Raw genomic sequence first — 17039 nt, forward strand, 5'->3', positions numbered from 1 at the left:
CATCTCTGCTTTTCTCTGTGCATCTGCCTCCTCCCCCTCTTGCTCTCTGCTTAACTATGTACCCAGCCAGCCCACACTCCCTATTCCTCCCCAGCTCAAGCAGCCAGCTCCGATGGGCACTCTCATTCCACAGCCTCAACTTCACATCTCCCACGGGGAGGACGTGAATGGGCAGCTTGGGTCAGGGGCTCCCTCTGCACCAGGAGAAGCTTGTGGTGTGGTGTGGGGCATACACACATGACGGCCTGGAGGGGGTGAGGTGCTCAAGGAAGAGGAGCTGCAGGCTGACAGGCCTGGCTGGGGCTGCCCAGGGAGCACAGTCAGTGGTTGGTACCCACAAGCCCAAGTGAGGATGGGCATACAAAGTCAGAGGCCTGACACAGGGCCACAGTCATAAGATGAGTCAAGATCACAGGCTAGGGAGACCAGTGTGGACACCAGTCCAGTGGGTCCAGCGAGGGTCCCAGCTGTGGCTGTAGGGTCAAGGGATGAAACCCTGTGGACAGGCCCAGGTGGTTGCCAGGAAGCCCTGGAGCAGCCTTGGCGTAAGTATACAAACCCCGAGATGCAGCAGACCCAGGGCTGGGCGTGGGGCATTCCTCAGAGTGCCAGTGGCCACAAGACACTACAGGGGGAAACCTCAGCCAGACCCTGCCCTCAAACAGAGAAAGAAGCAGGCCGTGAAGGAAGAATGCGGTGTTTTTTAGGGAAAACGTGGGGGAAGATGAACCAGCCGTGCAACTCGATGGAGCCGAGGGTGATGGACGATGACATGCTCAAGCTGGCCGTCGGGGACCAGGGCCCCCAGGAGGAGGCCGGGCAGCTGGCCAAGCAGGAGGGCATCCTCTTCAAGGATGTCCTGTCCCTGCAGCTGGACTTTCGGAGTATGTATCCAAGGTTCAGGGGTGGTGGCCAGGGTGGGCCCTCCCTGGCTTTCTCTGCTCCATCTTCAAGCCCCAGGATTCCATGCAAAGTCCACGGTCGAGGTTCCCACATCAGCATTAGGGCCTACCTGGGTTACAAGGCATAGGAGCAGCACAGATGTTTGTAAAGCGTCATACTTAGTGTCTTCATCATTTGAATATCCACGACGCTCCGGATTCTGAATAAGAATAGAAAACAAGATAAAATTGTCCCACGCCAAATCTAAGTGAGCCCCCAAGACTATGCTGTTTCCATCACACAACTCCACATGGGTGTCCTTGGAGTGGGGGTCCCTGGCAGGCAGAGCCTAGGAAGTCCCACGTAGCCAGAAGCAGAGGGTAGGAAGTGTGGGAGAATGAGAGCGGGCACTGGGATGGCAGCTTCAGGGAAGGGGTGACCAAAGACAGGCTGGTAGCAGGAGGAGCACAGGCCCTTGAGGCAGGGAGGCACATCAGGAGTGAGAAGATGTGGCTCAGGACCAGGCGGACCCTCACTGCTTCAATGTCCCGTCTGTGGAATGGGATGGCTGTCATCCCTGTCTCGAGCATTGGGTGGGGGGACAAGGTGAGACAGCACGTGCACAGTGCCTGGCTCACACAGCAAGCCAGGCACAGTAAGTGAAGGCAGAGGCAGTACGAGGGCAGTGAGAGAGGTGGGCAGGGATCCTGAGACCCCCCTTTGTATCATGTGCAGGCAAGGCCACAGCAGAGTGACCTGGTCTGATTCACATTCGTGCTCTGTCTTGGGGCCCCTAGGCTGGCCGGCATCCAGTCAACAACAAGGAGGTATTGAGACCCTGCCTCAGTCCAGCCCTGCTGCCAGAGCCAGGGACACGACAGTGGGCAAGTCAGGCATGGCCCAGGCACAGCCCCACGAAGCCCATAGGCTCCCAGGGCTGACCACCCAATCAGGGAGGGCCCTGAGCCACAGCCCCGGGAGGGGTAAAGGGGCACAGAACAGGTGCGGCAGGAGGGGGCTTTTGCAGCTGACCGCTTGCCCTCTGTTTCCCCTCCCCAACCTGAGGTTCATGCAGCCAGTATTGAACACCTGCCTGTTACATGCCAGGTACTGTTCTGAGCACTAGGGATTCAACTATGAGCAAAAAAAGACAAAAGCCTTGTCCTCATGGAGCTGACATTCAACTTGATGGGGGACAATTAAATAAAATGAAGAAGGAAAATAATACTATTTGCTAAACGTAATATGTGGTGTGGAGGAAAAAAGGAAGGAGAGGAGAAAAGGGAAGTTGGGGGTGGAGTACAGTGTTTTATAGAGTGGCCAGGGGCTTCACCAAGAAGGTAACAATTTAGCAACAACTTGAGGTAGGCAAGGGAGAGAGCTGCTGTGCAGATCCACCAGGGAAAGTGGAGCAGCCAGTGCAAAGGGCCTGGGGCAGGCTGGACCCCGCCTTATCATCTCTGCTGAGGAAGCCACTGTGGAGAGACAGGTCGGGGAGGTCATGGTGTCAGCTTGGAGACAGTGGAAGGTGTTTGGCTCTTACAGTGAGTGAAGTGGGGACCCCGGGAGGGTCCTGAGCAGAAGTGGGACAGGATGGGACTTAGGATTTCACAGGACCCTGCTGGCTGCGTGAGGATAGACCGTGGAGGCCAGGGGCCGAGGCAAGGATCTAGTAAGATGGCCACTGCTGTACTCCAGTGAGTGATGACCACAGGCCTGGCCGAGGTGGTGGCCACAGGGGCAGATTTAGTGTCTTTGTTGAAGATTAAATCGGCTTTTTTTGGCAGTCCTGTCATGCTGGTAACTCATTTAGAGCTAACTGCCAAGTACATCCTGATTTGTTGTGTTGTTTTGGCTTTTCCTCCTGAACTGCTGACACCTGGGAAAAAGCCGGCATGCTGGCGTGTGTGGCAGAGCACCCGGTGTGCAGGAGCCACAGGGGGAGTGCTACTGCTGGGGGGCTGTCAGATCAGGGCCAGAAAAGGCACCTGGAAAATCCAACCCAGGGTTGGGAGGTGGCCGGGAGGCTGGGGCAGAACTGGCCCCACCCTGGAAGCACAGGTGGGAATTGTGGCCAGTATCATTCTGGGAAATCTGGCCACAAACAGGGAGCTGAAGAACAGGCACCAGTCCCACCCAGCCCTGGGAACCCAGGAGAGGCACTACGCAGCAATCCGGCTCTAGGGGAAGGGCAGTCCCACCCAGCCCTGGGAACCCAGGATAGGTGCAAGGCAGCAATCCAGCTCTAAGGGAAGGGCAGTCCCACCCAGCCCTGGGAACCCAGGAGAGGTGCAGGGCAGCAATCCAGCTCTAGGGGAAGGGCGGTGTGCCCCTCTGGACCTGGGTCAGAGAACCCTGTCCTCCCCAGAACTTTGTGCAGGGAGGGGAGCTAGGAGGGGTTCCCCACTTTCCCACTGGGACTTTCACAACCTCACAGGCAGGCTCTGCCCCTCTGAATGAATATTGAAACGGCAGCTGGACTGTATGTTTTTTTTTTGTTTGTTTGTTTGTTTTGTTTTATTGTTGTTGTTTTTTTTTTTGTAGAGACGGAGTCTCGCTCTGCCGCCCAGCCCAGGCTGGAGTGCTAGAGTGCAGTAGTGCGATCTCAGCTCACTGCAACCTCTGCCTCCTGAGTTCAAGCAATTCTCCTGCCTCAGCCTCCCAAGTAGCTGGAACTACAGGCATATGCGGCCACGCCTGGCTAATTTTTTTTATTTTAGTAGAGATGGGGTTTCACCATGTTGCCCAGGCTGGTTTCGAACTCCTGAGCTCAGGCAATCTGCCTGCCTCAGGCTCCCAAAGTGCTAGGATTATAGGTATGAGCCACTGCGCCCAGCATTTTTTTTTTTTTTTTTTTGAGATGGAGTCTCACTCTGTCGCCAGGCTAGAGTGCAGTGGCACGATCTAGGCTCACTGCAACCTTCACCTCCCGGGTTCAAGTGATTCTCTTGCCTCAGCCTCCAGAGTAGCTGGGACTACAGGTGTACACCACCACACCCAGTGAATTTCTGTATTTTTAGTAGAGACGGGGTTTCACCATGTTGGCCAAGATGGTCTCGATCTCTTGACCTCGTGATCTGCCCACCTCGGCCTCCCAAAGTGCTGGGATTACACGTGTGAGCCACCGCACCTAGCCACTAATTTGTATTTGTATTTTTTATTTTTTTGGCATGAATCTCATTTATTGAAAACATTATATTTCACCTTTCTCAAATTGAAGACTGCAAAAAATAAAAGCAGTGCTTTACTGAGTTCTCATTAACCTCAGGAGCAGCAGCGCTGCCTCTCCACGCTCCAGGAAACCCTGGCTCCCGCGTGCCACATCTGTCGCACCTCACTTTACAAAACAGTCCTGAAGCTTAATCAAATAAAACTATTGTACATTAGAAAAAGAGAGCTGGGTGTAGAAAAGCCAGGTGTAAGTTCCCTTTAAGCAAAGGCTGCTCTGCAGTTGGGGCATCTTTGCTTCCTCCAGGAAAAACAGCAGATGAACCCAAAGGGGAACAGGATGATGGCCAGGAGGATTCCCAGGAAGGTGAAGCAGTCCTCCAGCACCCTATCCCTGCAGACGGGACAGCCTCTCATGATGGCGATGGCATTGGCAGGGTACCAAGTGATAGTCCAGCTGTGGTCATTGTAGACCCTGGGGTGGTGGTTGGGTATCCCTGTGATGAGGTAAGGGGAGGGCGGGCAGCAGCAAGGGATGGGCAGCAGGGATGACGCTGTAGCCATGCAAGCTGCATGCATAGTTGCCCTGGCCGGCCCCTAGGTTGTAGGTGGGCAGCCACTCCCACAGCAGGGGCGTGTGGTCCATGGCAGCCCGGCTCAGGTCAGTCGGTCCTGGCAGGGGACACAGTGGGGGACGTGGCAGGGATGCAGCAGACTGGCTGGCTCAGGCTCCTCTGAGGCACAATGCCTCAGCACCGATTTTTATTTTTTTTTATTTATTTATTTATTTAGAGACAGAGTCTTGCTTTGTCACCCAGGCTGCAGTGCAGTGGCATGATCTTGGCTCACTGCATCTCTGCCTCCTGGGTTCAAGTGATTCTGCTGCCTCAGCCTCCTGAGTAGCTGGGACTACAGGGACACCAGCTAATTTTTGTATTTTTATTATAGAGACAGTGTTTTTCCATGTTGGCCAGGCTGGTCTCAAACTCCTGGTCTCAAGCAATCCACCGGCCTTGGCCTCCCAAAGTGCTGGGATTACAGGTGTGTGCCACCATGCCCAGCCACAGGACCAAATTTTTTTTTTTTTTTAAACAGTCTCACTCTGTCATCCAGGCTGGAGTTCAGTGGCGTAATCTAGGCTCACTGCAACCTCTGCCTCCTGGGTTCAAGCGATTCTCCTGCCTCAGCCTCCAGAGTAGCTGGGATTACAAGCGCGTGTCACCACGCCCAACTAATTTTTGTATTTTTAGTAGAGACAGGGTTTCACCATGTTGGCCAGGATGGTCTCCATCTCTTTTTTTTTTTTTTTGAGATGGAGTCTCGCTCTGTCGCCCAGGCTGGAGTTCAGTGGCGCAATCTCGGCTCACTGAAAGCTCCGCCTCCTGGGTTCACGCCATTCTCCTGCCTCAGCCTCCCGAGTAGCTGGGACTACAGGTGCCCGCCACCACGCCCAGCTAATTTTTTGTGTTTTTAGGAGAGACAGGGTTTCACTGTGTTAGCCAGGATGGTCTCCACCTCCTCACCTCCTGATCTGCCTACCTTGGCCTCCCAAAGTGCTGGGATTACAGGCGTGAGCCACCACGCCTGGCCCACAGCACCAATTTTGAAAACTTCTTTCACTTCTGTATTATTTCAGTTCTTTTAATGAGCATATTCTTTTTTTTTTTTTTTTTGAGATGGAGTCTCGCTCTGTCACCTGGATTGCAGTGGCGCGATCTTGGCTCACTGCAACCTCTGCCTCCCTGGTTCAAGCGATTCTCCTGCCTCAGCCTCCCAAGTAGCTGGGACTACAGACGTGCACCACCACGCCCAGCCAATTTTTTGTATCTTTAGCAGAGACAGGGTTTCACCACATTGGCCAGGATGGTCTCGATCTCTTGAACTTGTGATCCGCCCGCCTCGGCCTCCCAAAGTGCTGTGATTACAGGCGTGAGCCACTGCGCCCATCCTTAATGAGCATATTCTAATTTTATAAATTTTAGAAATCATTACAAAAGCAAATATGGAAAAAAGGAGCATATAAACAACAGAGCTGTACGTGGCTTCTGGGAAAACCTGGCAGACAAGTTTGGCCTCTAGAGTGTTACATATACAGTACATATTTACTTATACATATGTGTTTTTCAGAACTCTCCTGGCTGCCAGTGACAGAAACCAAACTCTGGCTTACCTAGCAAACAGAATGAACCAGCTGTGTAGCTGGCGTGGGTGGTCCTCACAGGCCACAGGGGCCAGGCACTTCCGTGATATCAGGAACCTGCCTCGTTCTTGCATGGATGACTTATCTCATCCCCTACGTATGGACATTTGGGAGCTTTTCTGCCCCTTACGTGCCTGAGGGATTCCTTTGGACATATATACAGTGTGGAGATAGATTCCATGTAGAGAAATTATAGTTCAAAGGGCACTGACTTTAAATATTTCAAAAAACATTGCCAAACAGTGCTCCAAAAAGGCTGAATGAGGCAATCAACCCTCCTACCAACAGAGACACATGTTTTCATTCTATTTATCACACTGTGGAAGGAAGGCCTCTGTCTGTGTCCTGTGTCCTAAGGTGGACCAGCCTCCTGGAGAGTCCCTGGCCTGGCCCCAGAAACAGCACAAGCGAGTCTCCTGCCCAGCCAGGTCCAGCTCACTTCCACCCCAGCAACTTTTTAGCTCCACCCTAGTAAACCTATTAGGTCTTTCTGTGGCTCTGGGTGGCAGTACCGATCCCCGCCCACCTCATAGGGACACAATGTTCCTCGATGCTCAGCCGACATCTCCAGGGTGCCTGCGTACTCCAGGGCAGGGCAGAAGAGTTCTAGGTCCCTTTTGTGTGGTTCTGCCTCACTCCTCCTGTACACTAGCACAAAACTCTGACCCTAACCTGAGACTGAAATCACCTTCCATTATTTCAGACATCCTCCGCATAGACAACCTCTGGCAGTTTGAGAACTTGAGGAAGCTGCAGCTGGACAATAACATCATTGAGAAGATCGAGGGCCTGGAGAACCTCGCACACCTGGTCTGGCTGGGTAAGGCCCTTTCCTCTGTGTGTCCACCCTAATCGAAGGTGACACCCTGACAAGGTTATTGCCTTCCCAGGAGACAATAATTGTGTGCGACACTCAGCTGCTGGCCCATCATTAGCCAGGGTACGGCAGAAGCTCTGCCTGCTGGGAGCAAGAAAGCTGCTATTTTTTAAAAGCCTAGGGCTTGTGCTGGGCAAAGTGCAGCAAAGATGTGCTCAGACACAAGACCACAGAATATTCTGCTCTCATCTGCCCAAACTTTCAGTCTGGATGGGGTACAAAGGGGCAGCTGTGGACTCCTATTTAATCTAGACTCAGGCTGACAGATAACCATCGACAGGTAACCATTGGCTGGTGGGACCCAGATGAAACCAGGAATAATCGTCACAGAGGCTAGTGTGTATCAAGCACTTAACTACATGCTAAGTGGGGCCTATATGCTTTCCATATGGGTCTTTCAGTTCACACAGCATCCCCGTCATAGAGATGAGCAAACTGAGGTCACCACACCACATCAGGTCTCACTGCCAAGGCCATGGAGGGTTTTGATGAGATGTTCCTTCTGCTGGCCTCTTAGGAGCATCCTCACATCTGGTGAGGGGCAATGGGTCCCTAGCAGGGAGAAGGTGATGGGCCTGAGAGCTCCTTATGCCCTGTCTTGTTTAACCCCCATTTTAATCCTAAGAGTTGGGCATCTGTTATAATCCCAATCTACAGAAGAGGAGCTGAGACTCAGGGAGCCCCAGGCACTTGCCCAAAGCTGCACGACCAAGAAGTATCAGAGCTGGGACTCACCCCCACGCCTGTCTGACCTCACAGCCCACATTCCCTCCATCCTATTAGGCGGTCTTCTGGTAATAAGGGCACCCTGGGGCATCGTGAGCCTTCCAATTTGCCAAACACTCCCATCCTCCTTTGTGCTGACAATTGCAAGCCCATAGCAAACCCACAGGCAGGGTTATGCTGCCATTTCACACATGCAGCAACTGAGGCTCAGGGAGGCTGACCAGCTTGATGGAGTCATGTGCTACAGGTAGCAGGAGCAAACCACAGCCAGGTCCTCTCACACCTGGGCCCAGGTCTCTTGTCCCAGGTTTCTCATTTCTCTGCACTCTAGCACCCATTAATGCTGATTCATGAATGCCATGGTTTTAAGCAGGAGCTCTCTGGCCTGGCTGTCTCTCAGACATAAAGCAAGTACCACTGAGCCCCATGACAGCTCCCTCTTTCTGTCTGCTTACCCAGAGAGAAACCTGAATACTGGTCTTGGTTCCCTCCCTAACAGAAGCTTATTTTCCTACTACTTGGAGCCCCTGCACACACACTTCCTAGTCAGCTCATTCCCCCAACCCCTTGCAGTGGCCATCCACGCTTCCAAGGGTCATTGGACTGATGGCCAGTGCTCCCTGGGATGGGGGTGCTAGAGCAGTGAGGGCAGGCTCTGTTAAGAGGTCACACTGCCCCTCAGAGTATAGGCAGAAGCTGGTCTTTGTCCAGCCATGGCACTAGGTGCCCAGGGACCCAACCACAGCCAGAAGAGCTGGATCCCTGGGGTGCTGAGGATGGGGGTTAGGGAGGTGGCACTCCCATGGTTCAGCACGACCTCCCACACTGACATGCACAGGGCTGAGGATGTGCTGGAGCTGGCTAGCCCTGGCTCTCAACAGCTGGCTATACACATTTCTTCCCAACTTTGCTTCCAGGGATGCCACGCTGGTAGCTTGAAATTGGCCACGGTGGGAGTATTTACACCACAGAAATGAGCAAGCACCTCAAATCAGGGGTTTTCCTCAGCCCCCATTGGTAAACACTTGCTAGCACACCACTAGGGGGTAGGCTAAGCCTCCCAAGAACAGAACCCAGTGGCACGGTGGGAAAGGAAGTGTGCAGGCCTGGCATTTGTTAGACCCCCATTCAAACCCCAGCTTGGCCAACATACTGACTTTGCACAAGATATTCCACTCTGTGAACCTCAGTTTCTTTTTTTTGAGATGGAGTCTCATTCTGTCACCCAGGCTGGAGTGCAGTGGCACAATCTCAGCTCACTATAACCTCTGCCTCCCAGGTTCAAGTGATTCTCATGCCTCAGCCTCCCAAGTAGCTGGGATTACAGGTATGTGCCACCATGGGTGGCTAATTTTTGTATTTTTAGTAGAAACAGGGTTTTGCCATGTTGACCAGGCTGATCTCGAACTGCTGGCCTCAAGCAATCCACCCGCCTCAGCCTCGCAAAGTGCCGGGATTATAGGCGTGAGCCACTGCACCTGGCCCGAACCTCGATTCCTTTATGTGCTGTGCTACCTTGAGCATATTACCATGAGGCCCATTTGAATCTCAGTTTCCTCATCTATAAAATGGGGATGATGCTATCTGTGCTATGAGGATTAAACAAGGTAATGCACTTAAAGGGCCTGGCATAGAGAAAGGACAGAGTTATCATTGGTCTCAATGTCAACAGGTGAGCATCCCCTGATATGCGGAGGAGGCTATATTAAGATGTGGTTAAACTCATCTCCCAAATCACCTTTTTTTTTTTTTTTTTTTTGGACACAAAGCTTCACTTCATCACCTAGGCTGGAGTGCAGTGGCACAATCTCGGCTCACTCCACCTCCAAGGTTCAAGTGGTTCTCGTGCCTCAGCCTCCTGAGTAGCTGGGATTACAGGCATGTGCCACCATGCCCAGATAATTTTTGTATTTTTAGTAGAGACAGGGTTTTGCCAGGTTGGCCAGGCTGGTCTGGAACTCCTGACCCCCAAGTGATCCCCCCGCCTCGGCCTCCCAGAGTGCTGGGATTACAGGTGTAAGCCACTACGCCCAGCCCCAAATCACCTTTTAAATGTGATCACCCTGTGGTTATCATGCTCATATTTCCAAGCCCAGGAAAAATGCTCATTTTTGGCCTCTAGGCCATTGGTGTTCCAGGACAAGATAACAGCCCCACCTGCCAGGTAACCCTGAAAACCTGTAGTGGGGAAAAAGTACTTTTAGGCCGGACATGGTGGCTCACACCTGTAATCCCCACTTTGGGAGGCCGAGGTGGGAGGATCACTTGAGCCCAGGAGTTTGAGACTAGCCTGGGCAATATGGTAAGAGCCTGTCTCTATACAAACCTTTTTAAAAAGTTAGCTGGATGTGATGGCGTATACCTGTGGTCCAGTCTACTCAGGAGGCTGAAGCAGGAGGATCACTTGAACCCAGGAGGTCAAGGATGCAATGAACCGTGATTGCGCCACTGCACTCCAGTCTGCACAACAGAGCGAGACCCTGTCTCAAAAAAAAAAAAAAAAAAAAAAAAAGGAAGGTACTTTTATTCCCAAAGATGTGGAATTAGTCAAAAGTCTCGGTTGGGGTTGAGGGAGCCTGAGACAGCTGTGATGGAGCTGGAGGAACCTGACCTGCCACATGTCCAGGGAGAAGCCTTAGATGAACTCTGGCCCCACTGTGGTTAGCTGTGTGGCTTTGGGCAAATCACTGAGTCTCTCTGAGCTTCTGCTTCCCAAATGATAAAACAGCAAGAGAAATTCCAAACTACCACTCAGGGCTGCTGTCAGAGGATATACACGAGTGCTTGATAAACTGGTAAATGCAAAGCACACAGGAGGTGGTCTTGCTAAAATGCCACAGGTGTGAGGAAAGGGGACACTCCACCGCTGTCTACCCCGACCCCCAAGGGCACTGCTTCAGACCTGCGGGTTAGTATTTTCCTCCCAGAACTATGGCAGAGCATAGACACCAGTATTTGCCCACATGTCCCCAGCCAGGAGGATGATTGGCGGAACTGGAGAGGGTAGTGAATATTGGAGGCTGCAGGAAATAATTCACACCTGGCTTCTAAAAAAATCACAAACTATTAGACAGTGAGTCAAATTCTGGCCCTGGCAGCTTGGTGCTGGCTCACAGGGCACTCAGTAGCCCTGATGGTTTTATTTCAGGACAGCCCATCCCCTGACCCAGGCAGCAGACCCTCACAGCCCTCTCTTCTTCCCAGATCTGTCTTTCAACAACATTGAGACCATCGAGGGGCTGGACACACTGGTGAACCTGGAGGACCTGAGCTTGTTCAACAACCGGATCTCCAAGATCGACTCCCTGGACGCCCTCGTCAAGCTGCAGGTGTTGTCGCTGGGCAACAACCGGATTGACAACATGATGAACGTGAGTGGCCGCCCAGCCCGCCCTCACGCACACCTGCAGAGCCTTGGAGCGCCGTGGGTTGAGTGGGGGTCTGTGGCTAGGGGAAGTACAGGCTGAGTGTTCAGATCTTCTCATTTTCCTGGAAAAGCCAGGAATCTGGATTACTCCATGAGGGATTTGCTCATGTTTAAATACCATGCTTACCCAACAAAATTCATCGGAGAGCACTAGTTTACAACCTCCACATTAGTGGCGGTTCTTTCCCTGTGTCTTGCACTTATTTAACAAACATTTGCTGAGGTACATACCTGTTAGTGTTGGGCGTATGTCCTGTGCTCACTGGGAACAGAGACAGACGAGATGTGGTCCCTTTGGAGTGACCAGCACACACCCCCATAGTCAAGGCACAAGGAGACAAGAAGCCGGTGTCCTGAGGAACAATAAAACAAGGCCTATGGGTGGTAGGAGGGCACCCTGAGGCTTAGGGGTGTGCACAAGTGGCAGTGGACACAGCTGGGGGTGTGGCAGCAGCTTTAAGCTGCCACAGCTGTCGTCCTGTGTCAGAGGCGACACATCAGATGGCTCCTGGCTTGCTTCTGCAACCCATCAACCCTGGGGGCTGTCCAGTAGCCTTTGAAGATTCCTTTTCTGCTTAGGTCAGTCAGGTGGCCTGGGTTCAGATCCCAGCTGTGGGCCGTGGTGGCTTAGGTGAGTGACCTGGGAGGGTCAAGCGCTGAGTTGTGACTGGTATGTAAGTCTGTCCAGCAGGACCAAATCCAGGAGGCACTGTAGTCTCGGAAGTTTGCCCTGCATGCCAGACAGGAGCATCTAAACCCAACCAAGGGTCAAGCCTTCTATGCCTCAGTTTCCTCACCTGTCAGATGGAGATGATGGCCATGACCCTGCTGCCCAGGCTTTTGCAGGAATCAAGTGGGATCATGAATGTAACGCATTTGGTTCGGTGTCAGGCTGGGGTGTGTTCCTAACAAATGGAGGACTGTCATAGCTGAGGGCCTTCCTGCGAGTGTTGGGATGAGGGGAGCTTGATGCAGACTCACTGAGAGATAACTAGAATTTGCCATCCAGCAGAAGGAAAAGGCTTCCCAGGAGGATGGAATGGTGTGAGCAAAGGCCTGGAGGTAAGTTGGGAAAGCCTGGCCGCACGCATCGTTGAGGAGCGCAGGGTCCCTGGACGAGGTCAAAGGTGTGTGGTGCAGGGTTGGGCTCAGGATGTGGCCGGGCCTCGCCACAGTCAGTCAGGATGGCCAGAGAAGCAGTGGGAGCCGAGGAGGCTTCTGTCTGAGATGTATTTGGGGCAGGTCTACATTTAGGAAGGAATTCACCCCCATGAGGGTGGATTTGAGGGGGATTGTGAGAATGGGTTACCCCAGGACAGTGTGACCAAAAAGGATACTGTACCTGCAGGTAAGAGAAGCTGGCCCCAAACTGGCTGGAAGCAGAGGTAAGGCAGGGACTTGCACGCAGGTGGCTGGTTTGAGAGGTGGCTTCAGGAAGCTGGAGTAAGGGAGGCAGGGAAGAACCAACACACAGGCGTGTCACTGAGACTGCTGCTGCAGGTGACGAGGGAGGATTCCCCGGCCTCGGAAGTGTCCAGAATGCCTCCCAGAAGTGACCCTCTAAGGACAGGAGCCTAAGGCATTTGATTCCCGCAACAGCTGAGGGAGACCCCAGGGGGATTAACTTTCTTGCCACCTGGCTTTTGGGCTGGGTGGGCTTCTTTGGCTTCAGAGATATCTCTGAGGCAGAAAGTGAGTAATGAGATAGGACGCTGCCAGCTAAGGTCTCTCATGGCTACAGCTGAAGCCGGAGGTAAGCTGAGCCCCTGCGGCAAACAACAAGGGCATTTAGTGGCGTGATAATTGGCACTGCAAGGAAGGGGTGCTTATCAGCAGAGCTTCAAGGACGTGAGTTCCTTCTGCCTCTGGGCTCTGCCATCCTCAGCATCTCCCCAGAGCTTGATTCTCTTAATGGTTGCAGTCAAGGACACGGGCTTCCTTGTCTGCATCTAGCAGGATGGAGAGAGCAAGAACTCTCCTTCCGACAGTGGCCCTTTAGTCTGATCAAGCCCCCTCAGGGTCTACACTGACCCTCAGCCTAACATCATGGCTGGGTGACGGCCAGGCTGGGCTTACATGAACAGCCTGGGGTGGGAAGCACCGAGTTGTCACTAGCAGTTCCGTTGGGTCAAGCCACAGAGGTGGTGGAGTCTCAGAAGTTTGCCCTGCATGCCAGACAGGCAGCATCCAAACCCATGCATGGTCTTGCATGAATCAGCCCCTGACCTTGTCTCTACTCCCATCTCAACTTCTTCCCAGCCCTCTCCCCGCATTCTGCAGCCACCCTGGCCTTTGCTCAGTGCCTGGCATGTGCCAAGTTCTTTGCTGCCTGGGGCCCTTGCCTGTGCTGTCTTGGCTTCCAGGAATGTGCTCTCCTCTGCTCTTCTGCGGCTGGCTCCCTCAGGTCTCAGATTAAATGTCACCTCCCCAGAGAGACCTCTGAATCTCCTAACTGAAAGAGGCCTCCCTGTTATTTTCTCTCAGGGTGCCATCTTGATGTTCCTTACAGCACTTAACTCAAAGCATAATGGTTTTATTTACTTTTTAAAACATTTGGCCGGGCCCGGTGGTTCACACCTGTAATCCCAGCACTTTGGGAGGCCAAGGTGGGCGACTCACTTGAGGTCAGGAATTCGAGATAAGCTTGGCCAACATGGCGAAACCCGTCTCTACTAAAAATATAAAAATGAGCCGGGTGTGGTGGCGGGTGCCTGTAATCCCAGCTACTCCAGAGGCTGAGACAGAAGAATCGCTTGAACCTGGGAGGTGGAGGTTGCAGTGAGCCGAGATCGCGCCACTGCACTTCAGCCTGGGTGACAAGAGCAAAACTCCATCTAAAAAAAATAATAATAAATTAAAAAGAAAACATTTTTCCCCCACTCCTAAAATATGTGCTCTTGCCATAAGGGCAGGGACCCCACAGGCCTTGTTCCCCACTGTATCTTCATAATTTAGCACATGCCGGAGGCCTGCTAGGTGACTAATAGTGTTTGCTGCTAGGTGACTAATAGTGTTTGCTGCTAGGTGACTAATAAATGACTGAAAGAAATTCACTCAGAAAAGCATGCTAGATTTTTTTTTCTATCTTTTGCATAGTACAGTGTCTAGATGCTATCCAATGAAGTATTGCTTTTTTTTTTTTTTTTTTTTTTTTGAGAAGGAGTCTCGCCCTGTCACCCAGGCTGTAGTGCAGTGGTGCAATCTCGGCTCACTGCAACCTCCGCCTCTTGGGTTCAAGCGATTCTCCTGCCTCAGCCTCCCAAGTAGCTGGGACTATAGGCGCCTGCCACCATGCCCGGCTAATTTTTTTTTTTTGTATTTTTAGTAGAGACGGGGTTTCACCATGTTAGCCAGGATGGTCTCCATCTCCTGACCTCAAGATCCACCTGCCTCAGCCTCCCATAGTGTTGGGATTACAGGCGTGAGCCTTGTACCCGGCCAAAGTATTGCTTTTTTAAAATACTTTTTTGCCAGTACTTTTAATGGCAAAAACCACAGTTACTTTTGCACCAATCTAATATTAACTACCTGGTTAACATTTTCCTCATTTTACTAAAAATAGAGTGTAGGGAGAATAAATAAAGTTACTGGAATGTTCCCCTAGCTGTTATCCAGGGAATCCAAGGTTAGCCATAAGTTGGGTCCCATTTAATTTAAGATATTTGTACCTTCCATGGGGCTTTACAATCTACAAAGGCATGCCTGGCCAGGTGCAGTGGCTCACGCCTGTAATCCCAGCACTTTGGGAGGCTGAGGTGGGAGGATTTATTGTGACCAGGAGCTCGAGACCAGCCTGGTCAACACAGCAAGACCCCATCCCTACTTAAAAACAAAATAGGGCCGGGCGCGGTGGCTCACGCCTGTAATTCCAACCCTTTGGGAGGCCAAGGCTGGTGGATCGCTTGAGCCTAGGAGTTTGAGACCAGCCTGGGCAACATGGCAAAATCCCATCTCTACTACAAACACAAAAATTAGCCAGGTGTGGTGGTGCAGGCCTGTAATCCCAGCTACTCGGGAGGCTGAGGCACGAGAATCACTTGAACCCGGGAGGCAGAGGTTGCAGTGAGCCAAGATCGCACCTCTGCACTCCAGCCTGGGCAACAGAGCAAGACTCCATCTCAAAAAATAAAATTAAGTTAAATTTAAAAGATTTTTAAAAAATAAATAGAAGGGTATGCCTATGCTGGTAACAGCAACTAAAACGCCCATTACCGAATAGGTGTCAGGCACTCTTCCAGTGCTTTTTATAGCTTATTTCACTTGGTCTTTATAACACCTGTAACACACATGATATCCTTATACCCGTTTAACAGATGTGGACGTTGAAGCTCACAGATGTTGGGTAACTTGTTCAAGGTCTCACCACATGGTTCAGCAGACCTGAACCATGGTCTGCTGGTTCTTTGAAAAGCCCATTTCTGACAGAAGGTCTCGGTACTGCTTCCCAGCCTGGAACACCCCCACGCCTGCACACTGCCTGTCACCCCACCCCAGTGCTGATGGTGCTGTGGCCAGGCTGACTCTGAAAGAGTACTGAGGAGGGAGGTGCAGCTGTGTTTTCAACTCTGTGGCAGCCAAGAAAATGGGCCTTTCTCCCTTTTTCTCCCCAGATCATCTACCTCCGGCGGTTCAAGTGCCTGCGGACGCTCAGCCTCTCTAGGAACCCTATCTCTGAGGCAGAGGATTACAAGATGTTCATCTGTGCCTACCTTCCTGACCTCATGTACCTGGACTACCGGCGCATTGATGACCACACAGCAAGTGTCTCCCTCTCAGTCTCCCAGCCCTGTGAGACAGATTCCTCAAGCCCCCAGGTTTCTTGGAAAAGGGGCATTGAAGAGTAGCTTCCCCTGCCCACAACTAGGAGAGAAAGGGCAGCTCCCTCTTCCTAATCCCTTTACCTGACTCTGTCAGAGTGATTCCAGCAGCACCCTTGTAAGTACTGTTTTGTGTGCGTTCCCAGGGGCCAGGCCTCTTCCACACACTGTCCCAGGGCCACCTCACAGCCATCCTGCACTGTCTAGTTTTCCAGATGAAGAAGCTGAGGAGGGCTGGGAGCAGTGGCTCACGCCTGTAATCCCAGCACTTTGAGAGGCTGAGGCGGGAGGATCGCTTGAGCCAAGGAGTTCAAGACCAGCCTGGGCAACATAGGGAGACCCCATCTCTACAGAAACTACCAAAATTAGCCAGGTGTGGTGGCACACACCAGTAATCCTGGCTACTCACAAGGCCGAGGTAGAAGAATCGCTTGAGACTAGGAGTTTGAGGCTGCAGTGAACTAAGAAGATGCCATTGCACTCCAGCCTGGGCAACAGAGTGAAAAAATTAAAAAATTAGAAAAGAAAAGAAGTTGAGGAGGCCCAAGGAGGGCAAGCAGCCAGGATCACTGGCTCAAGGCCAAGCCAGGATTCACCCTAAGTTGGTGTCATCCCAGGAGCAATATTAACAGCTGAGCTCCAGAGGGAACCAGGCCATCAGAGGCTCAGGCCTGGCTCTCAGGGGCAGAGTCAGGGCTGGAGGTAGAGACCTGAGTGTCATCTGAGGATTGCCAATTGGCAGTAGTTGAAGCCATGGTACAGGTGGGATCACCTGGGGCACATGGAGTGAGCTGGGGGACGGGGACTAAGTTCTAGAGGTGCCAGCATTCCTGGCCAGGTACAGGGGGATGAGCCAGTGCGGTGGAGAGAGCCAAGGGCCAGACCCTCGTGACCAGCCCTATGGCCTCACTCTACCTCTGTCCTGTTGTCCTCCTTCCCTAA

At 52.3% G+C, this 17039-nt stretch overlaps 1 protein-coding gene, 1 long non-coding RNA gene and 1 pseudogene across 18 annotated transcripts in view, besides 1 other annotated feature; 1 reads left to right on the top strand and 2 right to left on the bottom strand.

The window, feature by feature from the left end:
- Positions 1 to 17039, top strand: part of DRC3 (dynein regulatory complex subunit 3) — a 44077-nt gene that overhangs the window by 4062 nt on the left and 22976 nt on the right. For 8 of the 17 annotated variants that reach the window (XR_934111.3, XR_007065485.1, XR_001752656.2 and 5 more), the window contains exons 3-7: positions 708 to 884; positions 4358 to 4417; positions 6954 to 7070; positions 11058 to 11224; positions 15891 to 16094. Coding sequence is in view for 13 of the 17 variants with exons in the window: in XM_011524018.3 (XP_011522320.1) it covers positions 725 to 884; positions 4358 to 4417; positions 6954 to 7070; positions 11058 to 11224; positions 15891 to 16094 (708 nt within the window). In the remaining 4 variants the exon portion in view is untranslated. Of the gene's footprint in view, positions 1 to 707; positions 885 to 4357; positions 4418 to 6953; positions 7071 to 11057; positions 11225 to 15890; positions 16095 to 16134; positions 16216 to 17039 lie in introns of those variants that run through there. The other 9 variants (NM_001130090.1, NM_031294.4, NM_001130091.2 and 6 more) reach the window with 4 other exon arrangements.
- On the bottom strand, positions 682 to 12940 carry LOC107984989 (uncharacterized). The gene is made up of 3 exons (XR_001752801.2): positions 12623 to 12940; positions 11512 to 11633; positions 682 to 1102 (listed from the first exon to the last, which is right to left on the bottom strand). It is a non-coding gene; the product is annotated as an uncharacterized LOC107984989 (long non-coding RNA).
- BRI3P3 (brain protein I3 pseudogene 3) lies at positions 4115 to 4786 on the bottom strand (annotated as a pseudogene).
- Positions 4182 to 4682: an enhancer, noted in NCBI's record as "H3K4me1 hESC enhancer chr17:17884370-17884870 (GRCh37/hg19 assembly coordinates)". NCBI's record gives its function as "activates a minimal SCP1, AML or CMV promoter by ChIP-STARR-seq in primed H9 embryonic stem cells {active_cell/tissue: H9 hESC(primed)}" and the evidence as "EXISTENCE:reporter gene assay evidence [ECO:0000049][PMID:30033119]".

This window comes from Homo sapiens, chromosome 17 (assembly GCF_000001405.40).
Source record: "Homo sapiens chromosome 17, GRCh38.p14 Primary Assembly".
NCBI lineage: Eukaryota > Metazoa > Chordata > Mammalia > Primates > Hominidae > Homo > Homo sapiens.